We start from the raw sequence: 18,726 nt of genomic DNA, 5'->3' as shown, positions 1-18,726 counted from the left end.
AAAAGACATGGAGATGGATATCCACAACAGTATTGAAATAGTGAAAAAGTGTAAACAGCTTATGTATTCGTCAAGTGATAATTAGCTAAGGTAGATTATAATACATGCAGATCAGAGAGACTTATGTAGTCTCTGCTCTATAGTTTTCCCAGCAACACAAGATAAACAAAGGCAGGGGATATGACTAAGTCACTCATGTATTATTCAACCAAATATTTGATTTAGGAATGGCCTATAGGCATGACATTGTGCTGTGCGCTAGGGTTAAGATGGAGAGTTATACAAAAGTGTATTGTGAGTTTCTCGACTGTCCAGCAATCCCACTACTGGGTATCTATCCAAAGGAAAATAAATCATTATATAATAAAGACACTGGCATGTGTATGTTTATTGCAGCACAATTCACAATTGCCAAGATATGGAATCAACTTAAGTGTCCATCAACTGATAAGTAGGTAAAGAAAATGTGGAATATATATATATGTGTATATATATGTGTGTATATATATGTGTATATATATGTATATATGTATGTATATATATGCATATGTATGTATATATATGTATATATGTATATATATGTGTATATATATGTATATATATATACACACATACACACACACACCATGGAATACTACTCAGCCATAAAAAAGTAATGAAATAATGTCTTTTGCAGCAACTTAGATGGAACTGGAGACCATTATCCTGAGTGAAGAATGGAAAACCAAGTACCACATGTTCTCACTTACAAGTGGGAGCTAAGTTATGGGTATGCAAAGTCATAGAGAGTGGTATAATGGACATTAGAGACTCAGAAGAGGGGAGGGTGGATGAAGGATACAAAAATCACCTACTGGGTACACTGCACACTCTTTGGGTGACAGGTCCAGTGAAAGCCCAGCCTTCACCACTATATAATTCATCTATGTCACCAAAAAACCACTGTACCCCTAAAGCTATTGAAATAAAATACAAAATAAAAAGCAAAGAATTCACCCAGAGGAACAACACAGTAACAAAAAGTGCTAAATAAAATGTGTAGTTAAGGTAGTTGGTTGTTGTTACATATTATCTGTGAGAGAAAACTCAAATCCGACTGGTTTAAGCAAAAAGCATGCTCCTTGCTTCAGGGACAAGTAAATCCCATGAATCCAATGCTATCCTTAGAAATCTCAGTCTCTTTCTCTCCATCTCTCTCTCCCCTTCCCCCTCCCTCTCAGCTCTGATTTCCTCTATGTGTTATTCCCATTTTCTTCTATTGCGGATGAACTTACATTACCTCGTATCTGGAGAGATGCCACCTCCAGCCCCAATTTGTATTCCCCCATTAGCCAAAACCAGGTTTACCACACTAGCTTTAACTGAGAGTTTAAAGGAGGGATCTTAGCATCCTTGATTGGCTCATTTGCCCATGTATGAACCAATCACCATGGCAATGACAATGGGTCACTCTAATTGGCCACCCAAAGTCACATGATCACTCCTGTGGCTGGTGGGAAGGGCACTATGATTGACAGCCCCTTTGGGACCACATGGAAAAGAAGTGGATGGTCCCCGCCAGGTTCTACGTAGATGAAACCAAGCATGTCTGCACTGCAGAAACAGAAAAGAGCTCCGGCTTGTATAACACCATATAGTAGAGTTCAGAGCAGAGGGAAAGCCCTGTTTGCTGATATAGTTACGGACATATTCCTGGGGGAGGTGAGTGGTGACCTGGACTTTTCTATATGTAGAGAAGTTAGATCTGGCTAGGATGTAGGATATAGTCGGTCAGCTGGACTTTTCCTTGAACCTCTACCTAGGTATACGTTCCCCAAAATTTATCCACATTTCAATTTCTTGCATTATATATTAGATATCCAAGGATTCCCTAGTGACCCTTGCCAAGGCGTAAGAGCCCCTCCTGCGTGCTGACTGCCCCATACGCGCCCACTGTCGGTGCCGATTACAGCAACGTCATCTTCTCGTCATCGCCCACACCGAAGCTCCCTGGTCTCTCCAGATTATGCCTGTGGGGCTAGTGGACGAGTGGGGCTTGTGGACTCTTGCTGGCTTCTGCTTTTTCATCCGTTTCGAAATGCAGACTTTGTGTGGCCTAACGATTCACTTATTGTTTCAACCATTTCCACTTTCCCTGGATTTTATGTGTGTCTCTGAGAAGAGAGAGTTCCCCCACGTACCTACTGAGGCTCTTTTTGCGAAAGGAAGTTGCCTCACTGAGACTGGGTAACACTTGAGGGTTTCCCTCCAGAGAGGAGCACAACCTTCTCTCCTTTTCCAAAATCAAATGGGCGCTAGGGAGAGAACAGACCATAGCATAGACGTAACAGGAAGGAAGGAAGGAGAAAAGAAGGAAGAAAAACTTGAAGGAAGAGCATCCATAAAGGGAGGTGGTTTCACCCGCACTGGGGCTCTAGTCCCAGACCACCTGGGTTCGAAACCTGCCTCAGGTAAACAGCTGTGTGTCTCTGAGCAAGTCATTTAGCCTCTCTGTGCCTCAGACTCTTTGTTGGAGATAGTGATAGTACCTACCTCCACTGGAAGATGTAGTGTGTTAATTGACCAGGCTGGCATAATGGTTGGAATAGTTAACATGTCGCTCTTTTAAAGCTCTGGGACACCACCTGCCTCACTCTCTAGCACTTCCTAAGCATTCACTCACTTTATTTGGACACCAAGGCAGAGGAGTGGGGAGAGAATGTTAATATCAAACATTCACTGGGTGCATCGGTGGTGCAAGCACAGCATTTTGGCCAGTGGGGATATGGCAGTGAGTAAAGAGACAAAGTCTTGGCCTCAAGTGTACGTTCTAGTGGAGAGAGAGGAGAAATGTGCATGAATAGACAACATGTGGCAGTGGGGGCAGGGGGAGGGTGGCGGTGCTGAGCTCCCCAGAGAGCATCGTGGCAGCATGAGAGGGCCAGGGTGATGGCAGGTGGGGACAGTCGGGTGCTGTTTGGGCAGGAAGGCCCCCTGGAACAGAGAGCTGGAAGGGAGAGAGGGACAATCAGGAAGGGCACACTATGCAGAGCGCACAGCCATGGCAAAGATGGAGCCTGAGTGTGCTTGGTGCCTTCTAGAAAGTACAGTGTTTGTTCTGAGATGAGGAAGGATATGGGGGATGGTGGTCAGAGGAGTGGGAGTGCCAGAAACACTGAAGGTCACCAAAGCCATGGAGGGGTGTCAACCTCCACTTGGAACCACGTGGGAAGACACTGCGGGCTTGGATCTGGGCATGATGTGACCTGACTTCTTTATTTTTTATTTTTATTTTTGTTTTAAGTTCTGGAATACATGTGCAGGATGTGCAGATTTGTTACATAGGTAAACGTGTGCCACGGTGGTTTGCTGTGCCTATGAACCCATCGCCTAGGTATTAACCCCAGTGTGCATCAGCTAGTTTTTCTAATGCTTTCCCTTCCTCTTCCTCATCCCCCAAGAGGGCCCCAGTGTGTGTTTTTCTCCCCCATGTGTCCATCTGTTCTCATCGTTCAGCTCCCACTTTTAAGTGAGAACATGTGGTGTTTGGTTTTCTCTTCCTGCATTAGTTTGCTGAGGACGGTGGCTTCCAGCTCCATCCATGTCCCTGCAAAGGACATGATCTTGTTCCTTTTAATGGCTGCATAGTATTCCATGGTGTATATGTACCACATTTTCTTTAGACAGGGTCTCACTCTGTCACCCAGGCTGGAGTGCAGTGGCCCAATCTTAGCTGACTGCAACCTCCGCCTCCCGGGTTCAAGTGATTCTCAAGTTTCAGCCTCCCGAGCAGCTAGGATTACAGGCATGTGCCACCATACCCAGCTAGGTTTTGTACTTTTATCAGAGATGGGCTTTTGCCATGTTGTCCAGGCTGGCCTCGAACTCCTGGGATCAAGGGATCCTCCCACCTCAGCATCCCAAAGTGCTGGGATTGCAGGCCTGAGCCACTGCTTCTGCAGGCCTGACATATTTTTGAAGGAGGTCTTTGGCTTCTGTGTGGAGAATACACTAGCAAGGGCAAAAGCAAAAGCCCAAGAGCAGGGAAGTGGCTGCCACGGTAATTCCAGCCTCCAGGAGACAGAGCTTGGGCAGAGCAGTGGCTGTGGTGACCTTCCAAGTTGAGTTGCCAGCTTCAGCCTGCTTTTGGACTTGAAAGGATGTGCAGAATCGAAGATGGCCCTGGCGATGTGGTGACAGCAACCCGTGGATCACTTGGAGGATGAGCAGGTTTAGGGACAGAAGCAGAAATTGATGTGTATGGTTTAGACACACTGCTGACCTGGGCTGCGTGGCTTTGGGCCGTGGTTAGGGTATTGTAACCTAATAGGACTCATTCTGGATGACTTTCTAGAGACAAGCTCTGGTTTTCATATCCTGAATGCTCCTGTTCTGTTAGGATAATACACTCAATTGCAAAATGAAATGTCCTTTTAAACTATTTCTGATGATATTTAAGAAGAAAATGATTACTGAAATTCGGTGTGAGTCAAAGAAGTGTTGTTTAACGAGTTTCATTAACACTCCTGATTGAGACCTTTAAACCAAATGTCAGATGATCCTCATGTTTGAAACACTGGAAACAGGAATTTATAATGGGGACATTAAAAGAATTTAGTTCTGCAAATGGGATTACAGTGATACCTTTTCTGTTAAAAGTTAATTGAGTTTAAATGAAGGCAATTTGGCGGAAGTTAAAAAATCAAATGGGTGGTGGGGCTGGGGGAGCCAGTGGATAACCCGAGACAAATGAATCCCTTAGGAATAGGGACAGCTTGGAAAATTATGTAGACATAGGGAAATTGGCTAAGTGTTCCCATATTTAATTAGGTCATAAGTCGTTCATTGGCAGGGACATTTCTGCACATGCATTTAAAGCACTGTGGGGATCTCTGCTATCACAGTGTGATAAAACCTGTCCCTTTTAGAGCACCATTTTTATCAGAGAATTTCAACAGGGATGCAGATCGATTCTCTTCCTGAGCGTATGTATGCATTGTACACCAAAAATAAAATTCGAAGGCCCCTCGACCATCTGAATGGACCTCTCCTCTTGGCCAAGGGCATTTCAGAGTTAACCTGAAAATCGATTTTAGGCTATGATGGAAGAAGGGGTGGGACATGCCTCATTATCCCCTCCAGCATTAACCTCAACTCTGACCTTAAGTCTGATAAGAAACATTTACAATCGATTCTCTCTAAAGCCTGCTATTTGGAGGCTTCACCTGCATGATAAAAAACCTTGGTCTTCACAACCCCTTATCTCAACCCAGTTATTCCTTTCTGCTGATAACAACTCTTTCAACCCATTGCCAATCAGAAAGTTTTTAATCCACCTATGACCAGGCAGCCCCCGCTTCGAGTTGTCCTGCCCTTCCAGATCGAACCAATGTAAATCTTACATGTAGAGATTGATGTCTTCTGTCTTCCTAAAGTATATAAAAGCAAGCTGTACCCAACCGCCTTGGGCACATGTCAGGACCTCCTGAGGCTATGTCACAGACACATCCTTTATCTTGGCAAAATAAATGTCCTAATTTGATCCTGACCTGTCTCAAATACTTTTGGGTTCACAGTATGTATTTGTATGTATGTACATAGATGTGCATTTTAAATAATTTAAATACACAGTGACTTTATCAGAAGGCTGTACAATTTTTAAGGAATTTGATTCTCACTATTTGATTCCTCTTCTCTTCTGGTTTTTGAAGGTTATCTGTAGTAGAAATGAGTAGTTTTAAGAGAACATATAGTCTACAAAGCCAAATATAGTAACTCAACTTTTACAGAAAAGGTTTGCCAAACCATGGGATGGAACATTGACTAGTACAAAACCATAGTGCAAAAGCAATGTCTGTTAAGCGAACAAACACATCAGGTAAATTTTGTCAGAGAATAGGGTTCCAATTGCTTTCTGATGTTGGTATGATGGCTGAAGCATTACTACTCTGACCTCATTATTATTTTGCTTTAATAATTTAAGAATGATTTTAGATATTATGATTTTCTAAAACATAGCAAAAACAAAACCCTCACAATTTTGGGTCCAGAGATTAGCAAGTGAGCACACAATCTTTTTAAAAACTTACTGGAATAGGACCCTCGCATCTGTAACATTTATATTCATGGCATTTCACGTTGGCTTATGTAATTAAATTTTACGCCTCCAGGCTCTGTGTTTAGCAGGCTCCCTAGGTTGTCTCTGGTCCTCATAACACTGCCCACTAGCTGTGGCTTTCTTCATTTCACGGATTGGGAAGTGAAAGCACAGGCAAGTGAAGTGCCGATGTCGAGGCCACAGAGCTACGAGGTACCAGAAAGCATCAGACTTGAGATCTGAAATGAGGCCAGTCTGCTTCCAAAGCCACATTCCCATCTGCTGTGTCTTGAATATATGCATCCCCCTAGTATTCATATTAACCCCCATGTATTAGGTGGCGGGGCCCCTGGGAGGTGATTAGATTATGAGGGTGGAACCTCATGAATGGGATTAGTGCCCTTATGAAAAGAGGCATCAGAGAGATGCTGCCCCCTTCCACCAGGAGAGGATGCAGTGAGAAGATGACATTGATGAACCAGGAAGCAGGTCCTCTGGTGTGAGGCACCGTTGACAGCACCTTGACTTTATCTCCTGGTTCATCGATGGCACCTGTGACTCCATCTCTCGCATCAACAAATAGAACCGCACTGCTGCTCCTTTCAATGAAAAAGAAGCCTCAAGACCCCTCAGGAATGGTATATACAAGATCTGCCACATCTGAAACTTCCAGCCCCCGGAACAGTAAGACATTTCTGTTGTTTATGAGCTACCAAGTCTGTGGCATTCTGTTAAAGTGGGCAGAATGGACTAAGACACCATCTCATGGATGAACAGCTGGGGTACAGGGAGGTGAAGTGAGAAGCTGAGGCCTGAGACAACAACTGGGTTGAGTAGGTGGGAGAAGACCTTCCTGGGAATGTCTGTCACTCAACCAAGTCAGGTGGCTAGGGTTTCTGTTTTTAGGATCCTTTAATTATTTTCCATTCTTCATTTTCCATTAACCTTTGTAAGCAAAGCCAGTGGTTCTGAATCGTTGGTACCATGGCCTTGTTTTCTCCATCAGTTCTCACCTGCAGGCTTCACTCACACCCATGGGATTCAGAAAATTCTTTGTGAGTGCATCTCAAGGACAAAATAAAAATTGCTTTCAGAACTCTGGCAGTACAGGAGTCTGAGAAATGCACTGCCTGGCCTTCAGCCCTGCTGATTTGGGGAAGACAAAAGTAGGGAACATGAATGATGCATGCAAAAAACAAAAAACAAAATGAAACAAAAACCCACAAACAAATATACAACAGCGACAAAATCCAGTGTTCTTCATCTCCTTGTCTACTCAGCCTCCTTACATCAGCTTTTGCTCATACAGAACAAACTTCAACAATAACAAAAAACACAATGCACATAATTGTGTTAGTCCATTCTCACGCTGCTAATGAAGACGTACCCGAGACTGGGTACTTTATGAAGGAAAGAGGTTTAATTGACTCACAGTTCAGCAGGGCTGGGGAGGCCTCAGGAAACTTACAATCATAATGGAAGGGGAAGCAGACACGTCCTTCTTCACATGGCGGCAGCAAGGAGAAGTGCCGAACAAAAGAGGGAAAAGTCCCTTATGAAACCATCAGATCTTGTGAGAATTCACTCACTATCACAAGAATAGCAGCATGGGGGTAACCACCCTCATGATTCAATTTCCTCCCACTGGGTCCCTCCCACGATACATGGGGATTATGAGAACTGTAATTCAAGATGAGATTTGGGTGGGAACACAGCCAAACCATATCAATAATTAAGTCTATAATGTCATCTCTCATATCAGCAAATACAACCACACCACTGTGCCCCTCAATGAAAAAGAAGGCCAAAGACCCCTCAGTCATGGTGTCCCTCTCCCGATAATATCTATTCCTCCTCTGGTTCCATGCCAGTCTGCCTTGGGTTTCATGTAAGCAAATACTGAATGATGAGATTGGGGCGCTGATGCATCAGAAATGGCTGAAGGCTACCGCAACTTCTTCAACTTTCACTTAATTCATTGTGAGTCTCAGCATGCAGGTTTTCTGGCATTATGGCATCTATCCCATTTATAGTGAAACTATAATTTTGGCTCTCTTCTGTATTTACCCACCAAACAAGGAAGTAGAATAAAAGTGTCCCAGCCTCAGCCTCTTGTTTTCTAATGTGTTGTTTTGTTTCTCCTGTTTTGTAATGGTTGACTTTGCTTAGTGGTCTGTTTCTTCAAACCAGCCATTGCACATCTGAATGCCTCCCTGGGCCAGGCAGGTGACAGGAATGTAGGAGGGGCCAGTAGAGAAGAGAGGAGCTGCCACTCAACTCAAGCCAGTTCTGGCTCTGGGACGGGGGTAGCAAGTCTGTGTTCTCACAGCTATCTTATTTTATTTTATTTTATTTTATTTTATTTTATTTTATTTTATTTTATTTTGTTTTGTTTTGTTTTGTTTTAATTATTTTATTGAGACAGAGTCTTGCTCTGTCATCCAGGCTGTGGCATGATCACAACCCACGGCAGCCTCGACCTCCTGGACTCAAGTGATCCTCCCACCCTGGCCTCCCAAGTAGCTGGGACAACAGGCATACACCACCACACCCAGCTAATTTTTCTTTAGTTTTTTTGTTCTTTTTTTTTTTTTTTTGAGATGGGGTCTCACTATATTGCCCATGCTGATCCCAAACTCCTGGGCTCGAACAATCCTCTCACACTGGCCTCCCAAAGTGCTGGGATTACAGGTGTGAGCCACCATGCCTGGTCTCACGGCCGTACTTTTTTTTTTATATAATTTAAATGTAATTATAAATTAAGCTATTTCTGAGCCAAAGTCACCATATCTGTGACGATGAACTGAAAACCCTCCTTTTGTAACCTTTCACCTAAACAAACGGCCAGATATTGGGAGAAGTGAGCTTGACGGAAGATTCATCCCTGATGATGAGGTTGCTGTGGACTCCAGAGTCTGCCTAGAGGTGAAATAATTCAGTGATTCATCCCCAGACAAAATCCACATTTCCCTGTTCTAGAGCCTGCCTAGGAGTGAAATAATTCAGTGTATCATTTCCAGACAGAATCCAAATTTCCCTGTTCTGTGTTTGTGCCCTGTGACAGTAGATAGCAGTGTCCAATCTCACGATGGCTATTGTGTTGCCATATAATACGCTGTTAGGTAACATTGTATGTCAGGGGAGCTTATTGTCATTGAATCCATGAGACATTTATTCAAGTGTGCTTCTGATTACAAGAGATATAAATACCGGAATGCAGGGGCCAGGGTAGATGTATTGATTCAGTTAGAGGTTAGAAATGGAAGATTCTCAGGGCAAAGAGAGGTATTTAGTTTGCCCTGCACATTAAAATTAACTAGACATGGCTAGCTTTTAAGAATCAAGATGTATCACATGAAATCCACATTTCTCATATCATTTGGATTCCGGGGAGAGCTGGAATTCCCCGGTGTGCATGGCTGTGACTTACAGCTGCTGCTGTGGTTAGGCGGGGCGTGTGTGTGTGGGTCTTCGTTTTCCACAGTCCCCGCCCAGCCTGGTTTCACTCATTTCTTCTGTTTATCTGGACTCTGTAGACATCTGAGTTTGTAACTAGTGGATCAGATTTTGCTTCTTCCTTGAAGAATTTTGGACTGCCGTTCGCTATGGCAAAGATACTTCAGAGATATTAGTGATTGGGATTTAAACTCCAGACAGAACTGTTTGAACTAAGAGGGATTATAGCAGAGTGATTGCATCTGACCCTCTTGGTTATTAAGCATTCCATTATCTTTCTCCTTTGCAAATGAACTCAGGGTGACCCAGGCCATTCATGACTAAGAGTTCACCCACCTTCCCGTCCTCTTTGCAGCAGGGCATCAGTCCCTCTGGCCTTGAGCTCACTGAGCTATGGGAACTATCTCAGAAACAGCTTACTTCTGGACATCCAATGATGTGAGAAAAATCAGTCCCTCTTTGGTTAAGCCACTTTACTTAGGTTTCTGCTGTTTGCAACAAGTGCAGTCCTCACTGATAGAGGGTTCAAGAGCATGGGTTCTGGAGCCAGTCCCCTGGGTTCTGGAGATAGTCACCTGGGTTCTCCAGACAGTACCCTGGGTTCTGGAGACAGTCGCCTAGGTTATGGAGACAGTCACCTGGGTCCTGGAGACAGTCCCTTGGGTTCTGGAGATAGTTGCCTAGGTGATGGAGACAGTCACCTGGGTTCTGGAGTCAGTCGCCTGGGTTCTACAGCCAGTCCCCCGGGTTCTGGAGTCAGTCCCCTGCGTTCTGGAGACAGTTGCCTGGATTCTGCAGACAGTACTCTGGGTTCTGGAGCCAGTCTCCTGGGTTCTGCAGACAGTCCCCTGGGTTCTGGAGCTGGTTGGGTTCTGGAGCCGATCCCCTGGGTTCTGCAGACAGTCCCCTGGGTTCTGCAGACAGTCCTCTGGGTTCTGGAGACAGTCACCTTGGTTCTGGAGACAGTCACCTTGGTTCTGGAGACAGTCCCCTGGGTTCTGGAGACAGTTGCCTGGGTTCTCGAGCCAGTCTTCTGGGTGCTGGAGACAGTCCTCTCGGTTCTGATGCTGACTTTTCAATTCCCTAGAAGTTGCTGCGATGGCACACCCACTAGCCACATCCGTATGCTTCCTGACATTTGCAGCCTCCTGCATAGTTTAAACTGGGGTCATGTGACTGAGTTCTGTCAAGCAGCGATGTGAACAAAAATGACATATTGCTGCTGGGCCTGGGCACGACAGAATGGGTGTGCCTTCTCCAGTCTTATCTTCCCCAATCACAGCAAATGGGGAAGACGCCCTGTTGAGACGAGAGTGTCTGTCATTCTCTGTTTGCATGAGGATGGAGCAGATCCAGGAGACAGTGGATAGAGGAGCGGCTCCATCAACTTACATGAGACCTTTGTTACAATGCAGGAATTCGGGGTTTATCTCTTATAATATTTAGGTTAAATTACCAGACAAATTAAGAAATTGATAATAGAAGTCAGGTGCTTTCTAAAAAAAAACCTAAACCAAGGCAGTGACTTGGCAGTTACGTGCCAAAGTGACGGGGTGAGCTGTTTCCTGAAATGTGTCTAACCAACTGGGACCCTGTGCCTAACCAACTCGTAGTTCTAGGAAAAAAGGTTTAATATCAGAATGTTAGTATTTTATGTTTGGCAAGTTATTAAATAGAACAGATGGGCTCAGGACGGAATTGTGTTTGCAAGAGGAAATGAGGGATAGAGGGATTTCTGAAATTCAGGGCCTTACAAAGTTGAAAAACAGACTTTGTCTAGACATGAAATGTTAAAATATTAGATTGACAAAACCTTTGGGCAACAAAAGTCCAGGTCTTTTTTTGTTTGTCCGTTTGTTGGAGACGGAGTCTCGCTCTGTCGCCAGGCTGGAGTACAGTGGCGTGATCTCGGCTCACTGCAACCTCTGCCTTCCAAAAAGCCCAGGTCTTTGATTCAGGGGCAAAAGGTCAGACTAAGCGTACATCAGATGAGTTGCCTGGGGCCAAATTAACAACATGTCTTCCCACATTTTGGGGAGCAGTATGGGACTGATAAACAAAGAAATAAGATGAGTCTCAGAAATATATATATATATATTTTAAAAAGAACTCTGGGTATAATTAATAGATTATGGAACAGACCAGAAGCAAATACGTTTTTAAGGTTACTAAGCTTTAAGCCTGTAAGAGTAAGTCTACTACGTTACTACACTTTTAAGGAAATTGCCCTGTCGAAGAAATCATTAGCCCAGTTTTAACAGGATTTTTTATTTTTATTTTTTTACTGCTTAAGATGTGAAACAATTCTTGGTCCCCCAAGCGTCCAGGAGCAAGAAGCAGGCTGCAGAATTTATGCAACTTGGCCAGGAGGCGTTCCTTCTTCCTCTACACCCACTGTGGATGTTGACAAGGGGGAGGATGGAAAGGGCAGAGCTGCAGGAGAGCAGAGAAAAGAGCCGCAGGCAGTGATGGACAGGGAATTCCTCCCCTTAGTAAGATCAGCCAGTGAACAAGGACACCCCCATGCTCAGTGTAGGGAGAACTTACAGGGCCCGTCATTGAAATGTGATGGATGTTACAGCCCATGGTCTGCTGTGTGCTCCCCAGCTCTCCTTTCGCAAATGAGTGCATCTTCCTTCTTCTGTCCTTGGTCCACCATTGCATGTTGGGTCTAGGGTGGAGATCAGTTGTCTCCTTTCTATGAAGAGCCACACCTCCATAGGGTACTGCGACCGGCCACGGCCCAGTGTCTGCGTTGTGAGCTGGATGGAGTGAGAGCATGAGACTTGGGGATGTTTCTCTTAGTGGGAACAGAATGGGAGCTGTTAAGTGTATTCCTCAATGTGTGGGAAGGGGCTGGAAGACAGTCTTTGCTGAGGGTTTATGCTCATCCAATAGCCCTGTGCTCCCCTACATCTCCAGACTTTCCCTACAATTGGGCTGAGGCCACAAGATGACATTGTAGCGGATGGAAATGTGAGCATCAATGATGAATTATCTCTAGTTCAAGGCACTTCAGTATCAGGGTGCCTCCTCCATTCCTGTCCTCCCATGATGGAGTGAACCTGGAAGCCCTGTGTTGAGATGGTGGCATTACAAGGTAGAGGGAGCCTGGATCCTTAAGTCACTGGATGGAGGAGAGCCCCAGTCAACGTCCATTGGACTTCTAAGTGAAAAAGTTTGTTGTGCTAAGCTACTTACACTTAAAATATGCCTTGGGCCCCCAAGCTTCCATGAGTAAGGAAGTAACTGGGAAAAATATCCACAACCCCCATTTCAGTTGTAGACAAGGAGGATCACAGCAAAAGGAAGAACCTTTCAAAATGCCAAGAGCTGTGGACATTTACAGATAAGGGAATTCTTCCCAAATGACAGAATCCGCATGCAAACTGAGGGTAGCTAGTGTTAATTACCATGAAAAATACACTAGTTAGCTGATCTCGCTAAAGAAAGTTAGGTCCCCTTTCCATGTCTTCGTTTTCTTAAAAGTAAAATCTAGACACTACAGTACCTACCTCATAGGATGTTCTAAGTATTAAACTATGTGGAGAGAGCTTCGGATAGGGTCTGACACATGGTAAATGCAAAAATAAAAATAAAGAAGGGAAGAAAAAGAAAGGAAGGCAGTGAGGCAAGCAGGCGTCTAATGTTTCTCAAGCAATCCTGGTTTGAATTCTGCCATAGATTTTTTTGGATTCCTGGGGTGCAGCTGAGATCATGAGTTTGGGGATTGATGAATATTATGGTTCTGCCTGATCTAGGTGAATGCACGCTTCCCTCTGGGGAGCAATTTGGACCAGTGCCTTGATCTGTCTGTTATCAGAATGTTTGTGCAGTGTCAGACTAATGCACTTTTGCAGTGCTTAACCTAATTGCCCTGTAAATCCCTGCGATTATATGCTGTTTACTTCCTAATATGTCCTAGGAACAAGTTCGTAATTCACTTAAGGAAGAAGAGAGCAGCCTTCTAAAGTTTTTTTTTTTTATGTTAACATCATCAATTACTTACTTGCTTGTAATTCAAGGAATAGAGCCCACATATTCATAAATCTGACGATTTAAGTGATGCTGGACATGGCTCTATGCAAGCAATCTGGGCTACTTCCTCCCAGCCAGTTGGCTGGACGGTGGTTTCTCAGAGTACCTTCAACAGAAACCCAACCCCACGAGAATGAGCCAGACTTCTAGAAAAAGAAACTCCAGTATTTTGAGTTGTTTTAATGCTTTATGGAAGTAGGTGATCAAGATGAAAGTAGAAGTGAAGCTCCTATGTTAGAACAGGAAATTGACTCTTTAATATATTAGGGAATATAGTTGTTGAAGCTATTTAGGGAGATTGGGGTACAGGGTTTAAGATAGAAGAATGTATAATGCACGTGTCAATTCAATCAATTCAATAATGTACTGCTTTTCCCTCTCTCTCTGTCTCTCTTTTTTTTTTTTTTTTTGAGACAGAGCCTTGCTCTTGTCGCCCAGGCTGGAGTGCAATGGTGCAATCTCAGCTCACTGCAGCCTCTGCCTCCCAGGTTCAAGCAATTCTATTCTCCTGCCTCAGCCTCCTGAAGTAGCTGGGATTACAGGCACCCACCACCACACCCAGCTAAGTTTTGTATTTTTTAGTAGAGACGTGGTTTCACTGTGTTGGCCAGGCTGGTCTTGAGCACCTGACCTCAGATGATTCTCCTGCCTCGGTCTCCCAAAGCGTTGGGATTACAAGTGTGAGCCACTGTGCCCAGCCTTCCCCTCTCTTTTCACTTTATTTAGTCCTAAAGGAGAGAGGATGTCACTGTTGTCATGAGCTGTATGTAGACCACGCCCCTTTCTAGGACAAGGCTTGAGGGATAAACCCCCAGTGGGGAGTGTGTTCCCTGAGGCCCTGGTCTGTGTCTTTAATCATATTGGGTTTTTACTGGAAGATCCACGTGGTAACAGGGGTGTGGTTTCCGTTCCACGTTGCTGTCCAGGGCAGCATACAGAGCTCAGAAAGGCGGGCATCTGACTGGGGAAGAGGGGCCCGACCTCTTCGTGGGATGAGGAGACACTGGCCCTTGTCCAGTGTCTGGACCAGAGCATGAACAACGTAGTGCTGAACCTTGGCTTAAACACTCACCTGCCAGCCCAGCATTTGCAGTTGGGAGAGCACCAGCCCTTTCCCTGGTTTGATCAAGATTTGATCAAGGCTGAGTCCAAGCCTTGCTAATGACCAGGATTGACTTCCCAGGCATTGCGTCATTGTCAGTTTTCCTGTCGCTTTTTAAGAGGCCTTTGTCTCTTTTGGGATGCCAACCATGCCACGGGGGTTTTTAAAGGATGGGATGAGTCCTTGGCAAGACTCTATGTAGCACTATGTCCTACTCTAAGAAGGGTAGAATTTTCTTTCTCGTGATATGTTGATGACTCTTTCAGATAGTGGTTCACAGAAGGTGGTTCCCAACCATCAATATTAGCATCACCTTGGAACCTATGAAAAGTGAACAACTTGGCCAGGCATGGTGGCTCACTCCTGTAATCCCAGCACTTTGGGAGGCCAAGGTTGGCAGATCGCCTGAGGTCAGGAGTTCGAGACCAGCCTGACCAAGATGGTGAAATCCCGTCCCTACTAAAAATACAAAAAAAAATTATCTGGGCGTGTTGGTGGGCACCTGCAATTGCAGCTACTCAGGAGGCTGAGGCAGGAGAATCGCTGGAACCCAGGAGGTAGAGGTTGCAGTGGGCCAAGATCACGCCACTACACTCCAGCCTGGGTGACAGAGCGAGACTCCATCTCAAAAAAAAAAAAAAGAACAATTTGAGGGCCCAACTCAGAGCCCAGACCTACTAAGCTGGAAAATTTGGGGTGGGGCCTAGGAATCTGTATTTGAACAAGGCCACCAGGCAATTTGAGTGCGAGTGAACTTTGAGAACCGCTCTGTTCTTATAGGTTCCTTGGCAGCCAAATCAGGAGGAGGTTTGTTTGGTAATTGTAGAATAGGAAGAAATGAGGATGCTAAGCATGACAGACGGAGAAAGGCCGGAGCTGATGGCTTCATCAACTTTGATATTTTGGGCTTACCCATTAAAAGAGGCTACCTGCTTTTCTACGGAATATGTAGGTTCTTTCTTAGCTGTAAACGCGACATGATTTTTTCAGAAACAGTGGATATCAAGGAGAATGCTTAGAGGTTTCAGAAGAAAATTGACTGCATTTCCATCCAGCGAGCAAGCCAGTCTCTCATCAACAGTGTCAGATATTTGCCAAATAGGAGCTTTGGTTGTCTAAGCTCTGACCTGTCTCAGAGCCTTGGTACCCTTTTTAGTGACAACCGAACCTTCATTCATCATCTACATAGTTAGGCCTCATTTTTGCAGACTGAAAACAGCAACAAGTCCTAGTCCAGACTGAAATTAGGTTGGGCTTCTAAAGGGAGAGTGTCTGTCTCCTAGTCTGGGCATCACAGCTCACTCCCTGCAGAAAAGTTGGTATTTTGATAGTCTTTGCAAACTCTTCTGGTCCGTTAATTGAAAAGCCAGTGCACTTCAAGTGAGTAAACATCAGAGTTCTTATTTCTGCTGCTTCAGGATGAAGAGGGGTAGATAAAACTCCTTAAAACACACTTCGCTGTTCCTTCACAGTGATTTTAGTTTAAAAGCCAGGGGTTTGTGGGTGATTATTCTATTCTTCTTGCAATGTGTTATCTGTTTTTCCCCCACAGCAATCAATATTTCACAGACTCCACAGAAACAACGCTGATCTGTCGGCTCCTCCCCCGCCGCAGTCAGCACATTCACTGGGGGCTGAGTGTGATTATCTGGTACAATACACTTGAGCAATAGTGATTCTGGGCTTGAAAAGTATGCTATAAGTTGATGGGTGGAATTAAAAGCTGGATTTATGCCATGAGAAACTCAGCAAGCAGCCTCTATATCTTAGAGGGTAGTGGGGGAAAGCTGGTATGAAATCTACAGGTACTCCAAAACACAGAAAAAGGCATTTAAAAATACGTCTTCATTTTGGAATTGGTCTCTGTTCATCTATTCATCCTGTAGTCGGTCATTCTATTTATTGAATGAACACTCAGTGTGTGCAGTCAAGGGTTAACTGCACCAGAAAAAGGCTTGGCCCTTTGTCTGGCCTCCTGGGTGGTAGCCTCTAAGCCCTTGGAATTTCCTGCCTGTAAGAGTGTCTTTGTTTATCTGGAGACCTTGGGCCAAGACAGATAGTCTATGCTAAAAATGAATTTATAGTGGAGGCTTGATCCACCCAACATTGACTCATCTCTGGAGGAGCTAGAGGTTGAGGTCAGCCTTGCAGGTGGTCAGCCCTGACCGTGGGAGCAACCCTTCGTAGGAATTCTGCATGCCAAGCTCCAGAGGGGTTTCCCCAGTTAGCAGTACTCTGTGCATGCGATCGCAGGTTTTTGCTGCGAGGAATGAGCCCACTCTGCGTGACCCACTGGGAGAGAACTGGAAGTTCTACACCCAGGCTCCCAGAGATCCTACCCTAAGCACCTTTTCTTTCTTGTTGCTGATTTTAATCGGTATCATTTCGCTATAATAAACTGTGATGGTGAGGATACCAGCTTTGCCACATTCTGTGAGTTCTTCTAACAAATTGTTGAACAAGGTAATCTTGCGACCCTCCCCAATTGCAGAGTGACTATTCAAAAAAAAAAAAGAAAGAAAGAAAGAAAGAAAAAGAAACTAAGCAGTGGAGACACAGAGATGAGAACACAGTTTCTTCATTTCCAAGATAGACAAGGAAAGTAACAATTGCAGAAAAGCATAATAAATGTTCGTTGGAAATCCAAGAGAATGAACAATGCACCTGCCACCTCTCACTGTTCTATGAGCAAATGCATTCTTTAGAATCAGGTAGCATTTTGAGAGTTACATCATATAACAAGCATTTTGGTAGAGAGTTCTTGAATCAGATAATATACTCAGATGTTTAAGATATGTAGTTTTTATTCCCTCCAATTTAATGTAACTTTTTTTCTTGCCGCCCACTTTCTACCCAAGTGGGCAGAAAATTATCTCAGTTACAAGTAACTTAGTGTCTTTTTGTTAGTTCTGAGTTCTCCCTATCCTTCCCAAAAGTTGCTTCTAAGTTTCAGGTGTTTTCTGTAGTGCCTGTATTGGGGTTGGAGTGATGGAGGATGACCTTGGTGTGGTCACTGGTTCATCTTGTCCAGCCTGGTCCTCAGCTGTCTGCCTGCTCACATCAGAGCCTTATCGTTGCTACGTTACTTGCCAGGTCTCTCTCTCACTGAGCTCGCCCACACCATCTCAGGGATGCAAGAGATCTTAGCTGCTTCTCTGTGTGGCTCCGGGGCTGCGGCAGACTCTGAGCTAACTTAGGGACTCTCTACCTACATACATATGACAGACCTAGATACCCCTCATGTATCTTTTGTCAATTTCCCCAAGCCCTACTCAAGGAAGACTGTGGAGTCTGTGGACCGGCTCGATCAACAATTGCCCCAAGCCCCTTTGAAGCTTTCTGAACTAGAGTGGATGGAAACTAAAATGACATTTCCCGAAGACTATCACAGCTAGGGTTCCATCTAGAATCGAGGTACTGTTCTACCCTGAAGGCACCCCTGTGAAGACCCAGGGAGAGATGTGAGCACCATCCCAGTGAAGGATACACTGTGCAGAGAAAGTGTCTTTTTTGTTTTATTTTTGTTTTTTGATTTTAGTAAGCACAGTAGCTGAGGGTTCAAGTTCTTGTTCCACCTCAATGGTATGTTGATTGTTAATTCTCTAGCATACACAGCCACCCTGGAGGCCACAGTACAGCAGGGGAGTTGCAGCTGGAGCAGCTCTATGGGGCGGCTGAGCCAGGTTCCTGGCTGTTTTCTTGGCTGCATTGTTTCTGGCTTTGTGGAATCTAAGCTTGTTTACTTGTCCCTTGCAATATAGCTGCTGTTAACTGCAAACCACAACTCTGACCCATGAAAAAAATGATGTATGAGAAACGCCATTGCCAGTTTATTAATTTACAATGGAAAAAATGACTGTCAAGGTTTCCACATGAATATTTGCTCATCAGCACACTTTCTATCTACAAATATATATATATATATGTATATGTATATTTGTGTGTGTGTGTGTGTGTGTGTGTATATATATATGTGTGTGTATATATATATATATATAATGCCTAATTTCCCATAATAATTTAAAGGCTGCTTGTGGGGCATAAGATCATTCCA

The 18,726-nt window shown here is 44.4% G+C and overlaps 1 protein-coding gene across 1 annotated transcript in view, besides 1 other annotated feature; it reads left to right on the top strand.

Annotated features, from left to right (window-relative positions):
* The window catches only part of TMEM132D (transmembrane protein 132D), an 832,300-nt gene that overhangs the window by 279,768 nt on the left and 533,806 nt on the right, over nucleotides 1-18,726 (top strand). The gene's annotated exons all lie outside the window — the stretch shown is intronic.
* Nucleotides 15,975-17,174: an enhancer, noted in NCBI's record as "CDK7 strongly-dependent group 2 enhancer chr12:130091629-130092828 (GRCh37/hg19 assembly coordinates)". NCBI's record gives its function as "activates an origin of replication core promoter dependent on BRD2, BRD4, P300/CBP, MED14 and CDK7 cofactors, with strong dependence on CDK7, by STARR-seq in HCT116 cells {active_cell/tissue: HCT116}" and the evidence as "EXISTENCE:reporter gene assay evidence [ECO:0000049][PMID:35650434]".

This window comes from Homo sapiens, chromosome 12 (assembly GCF_000001405.40).
Source record: "Homo sapiens chromosome 12, GRCh38.p14 Primary Assembly".
Classification (NCBI taxonomy): domain Eukaryota; kingdom Metazoa; phylum Chordata; class Mammalia; order Primates; family Hominidae; genus Homo; species Homo sapiens.
The sequence above is the reverse complement of the archived record's forward strand: the minus strand, read 5'-3'. Positions and strand labels throughout refer to the sequence as shown.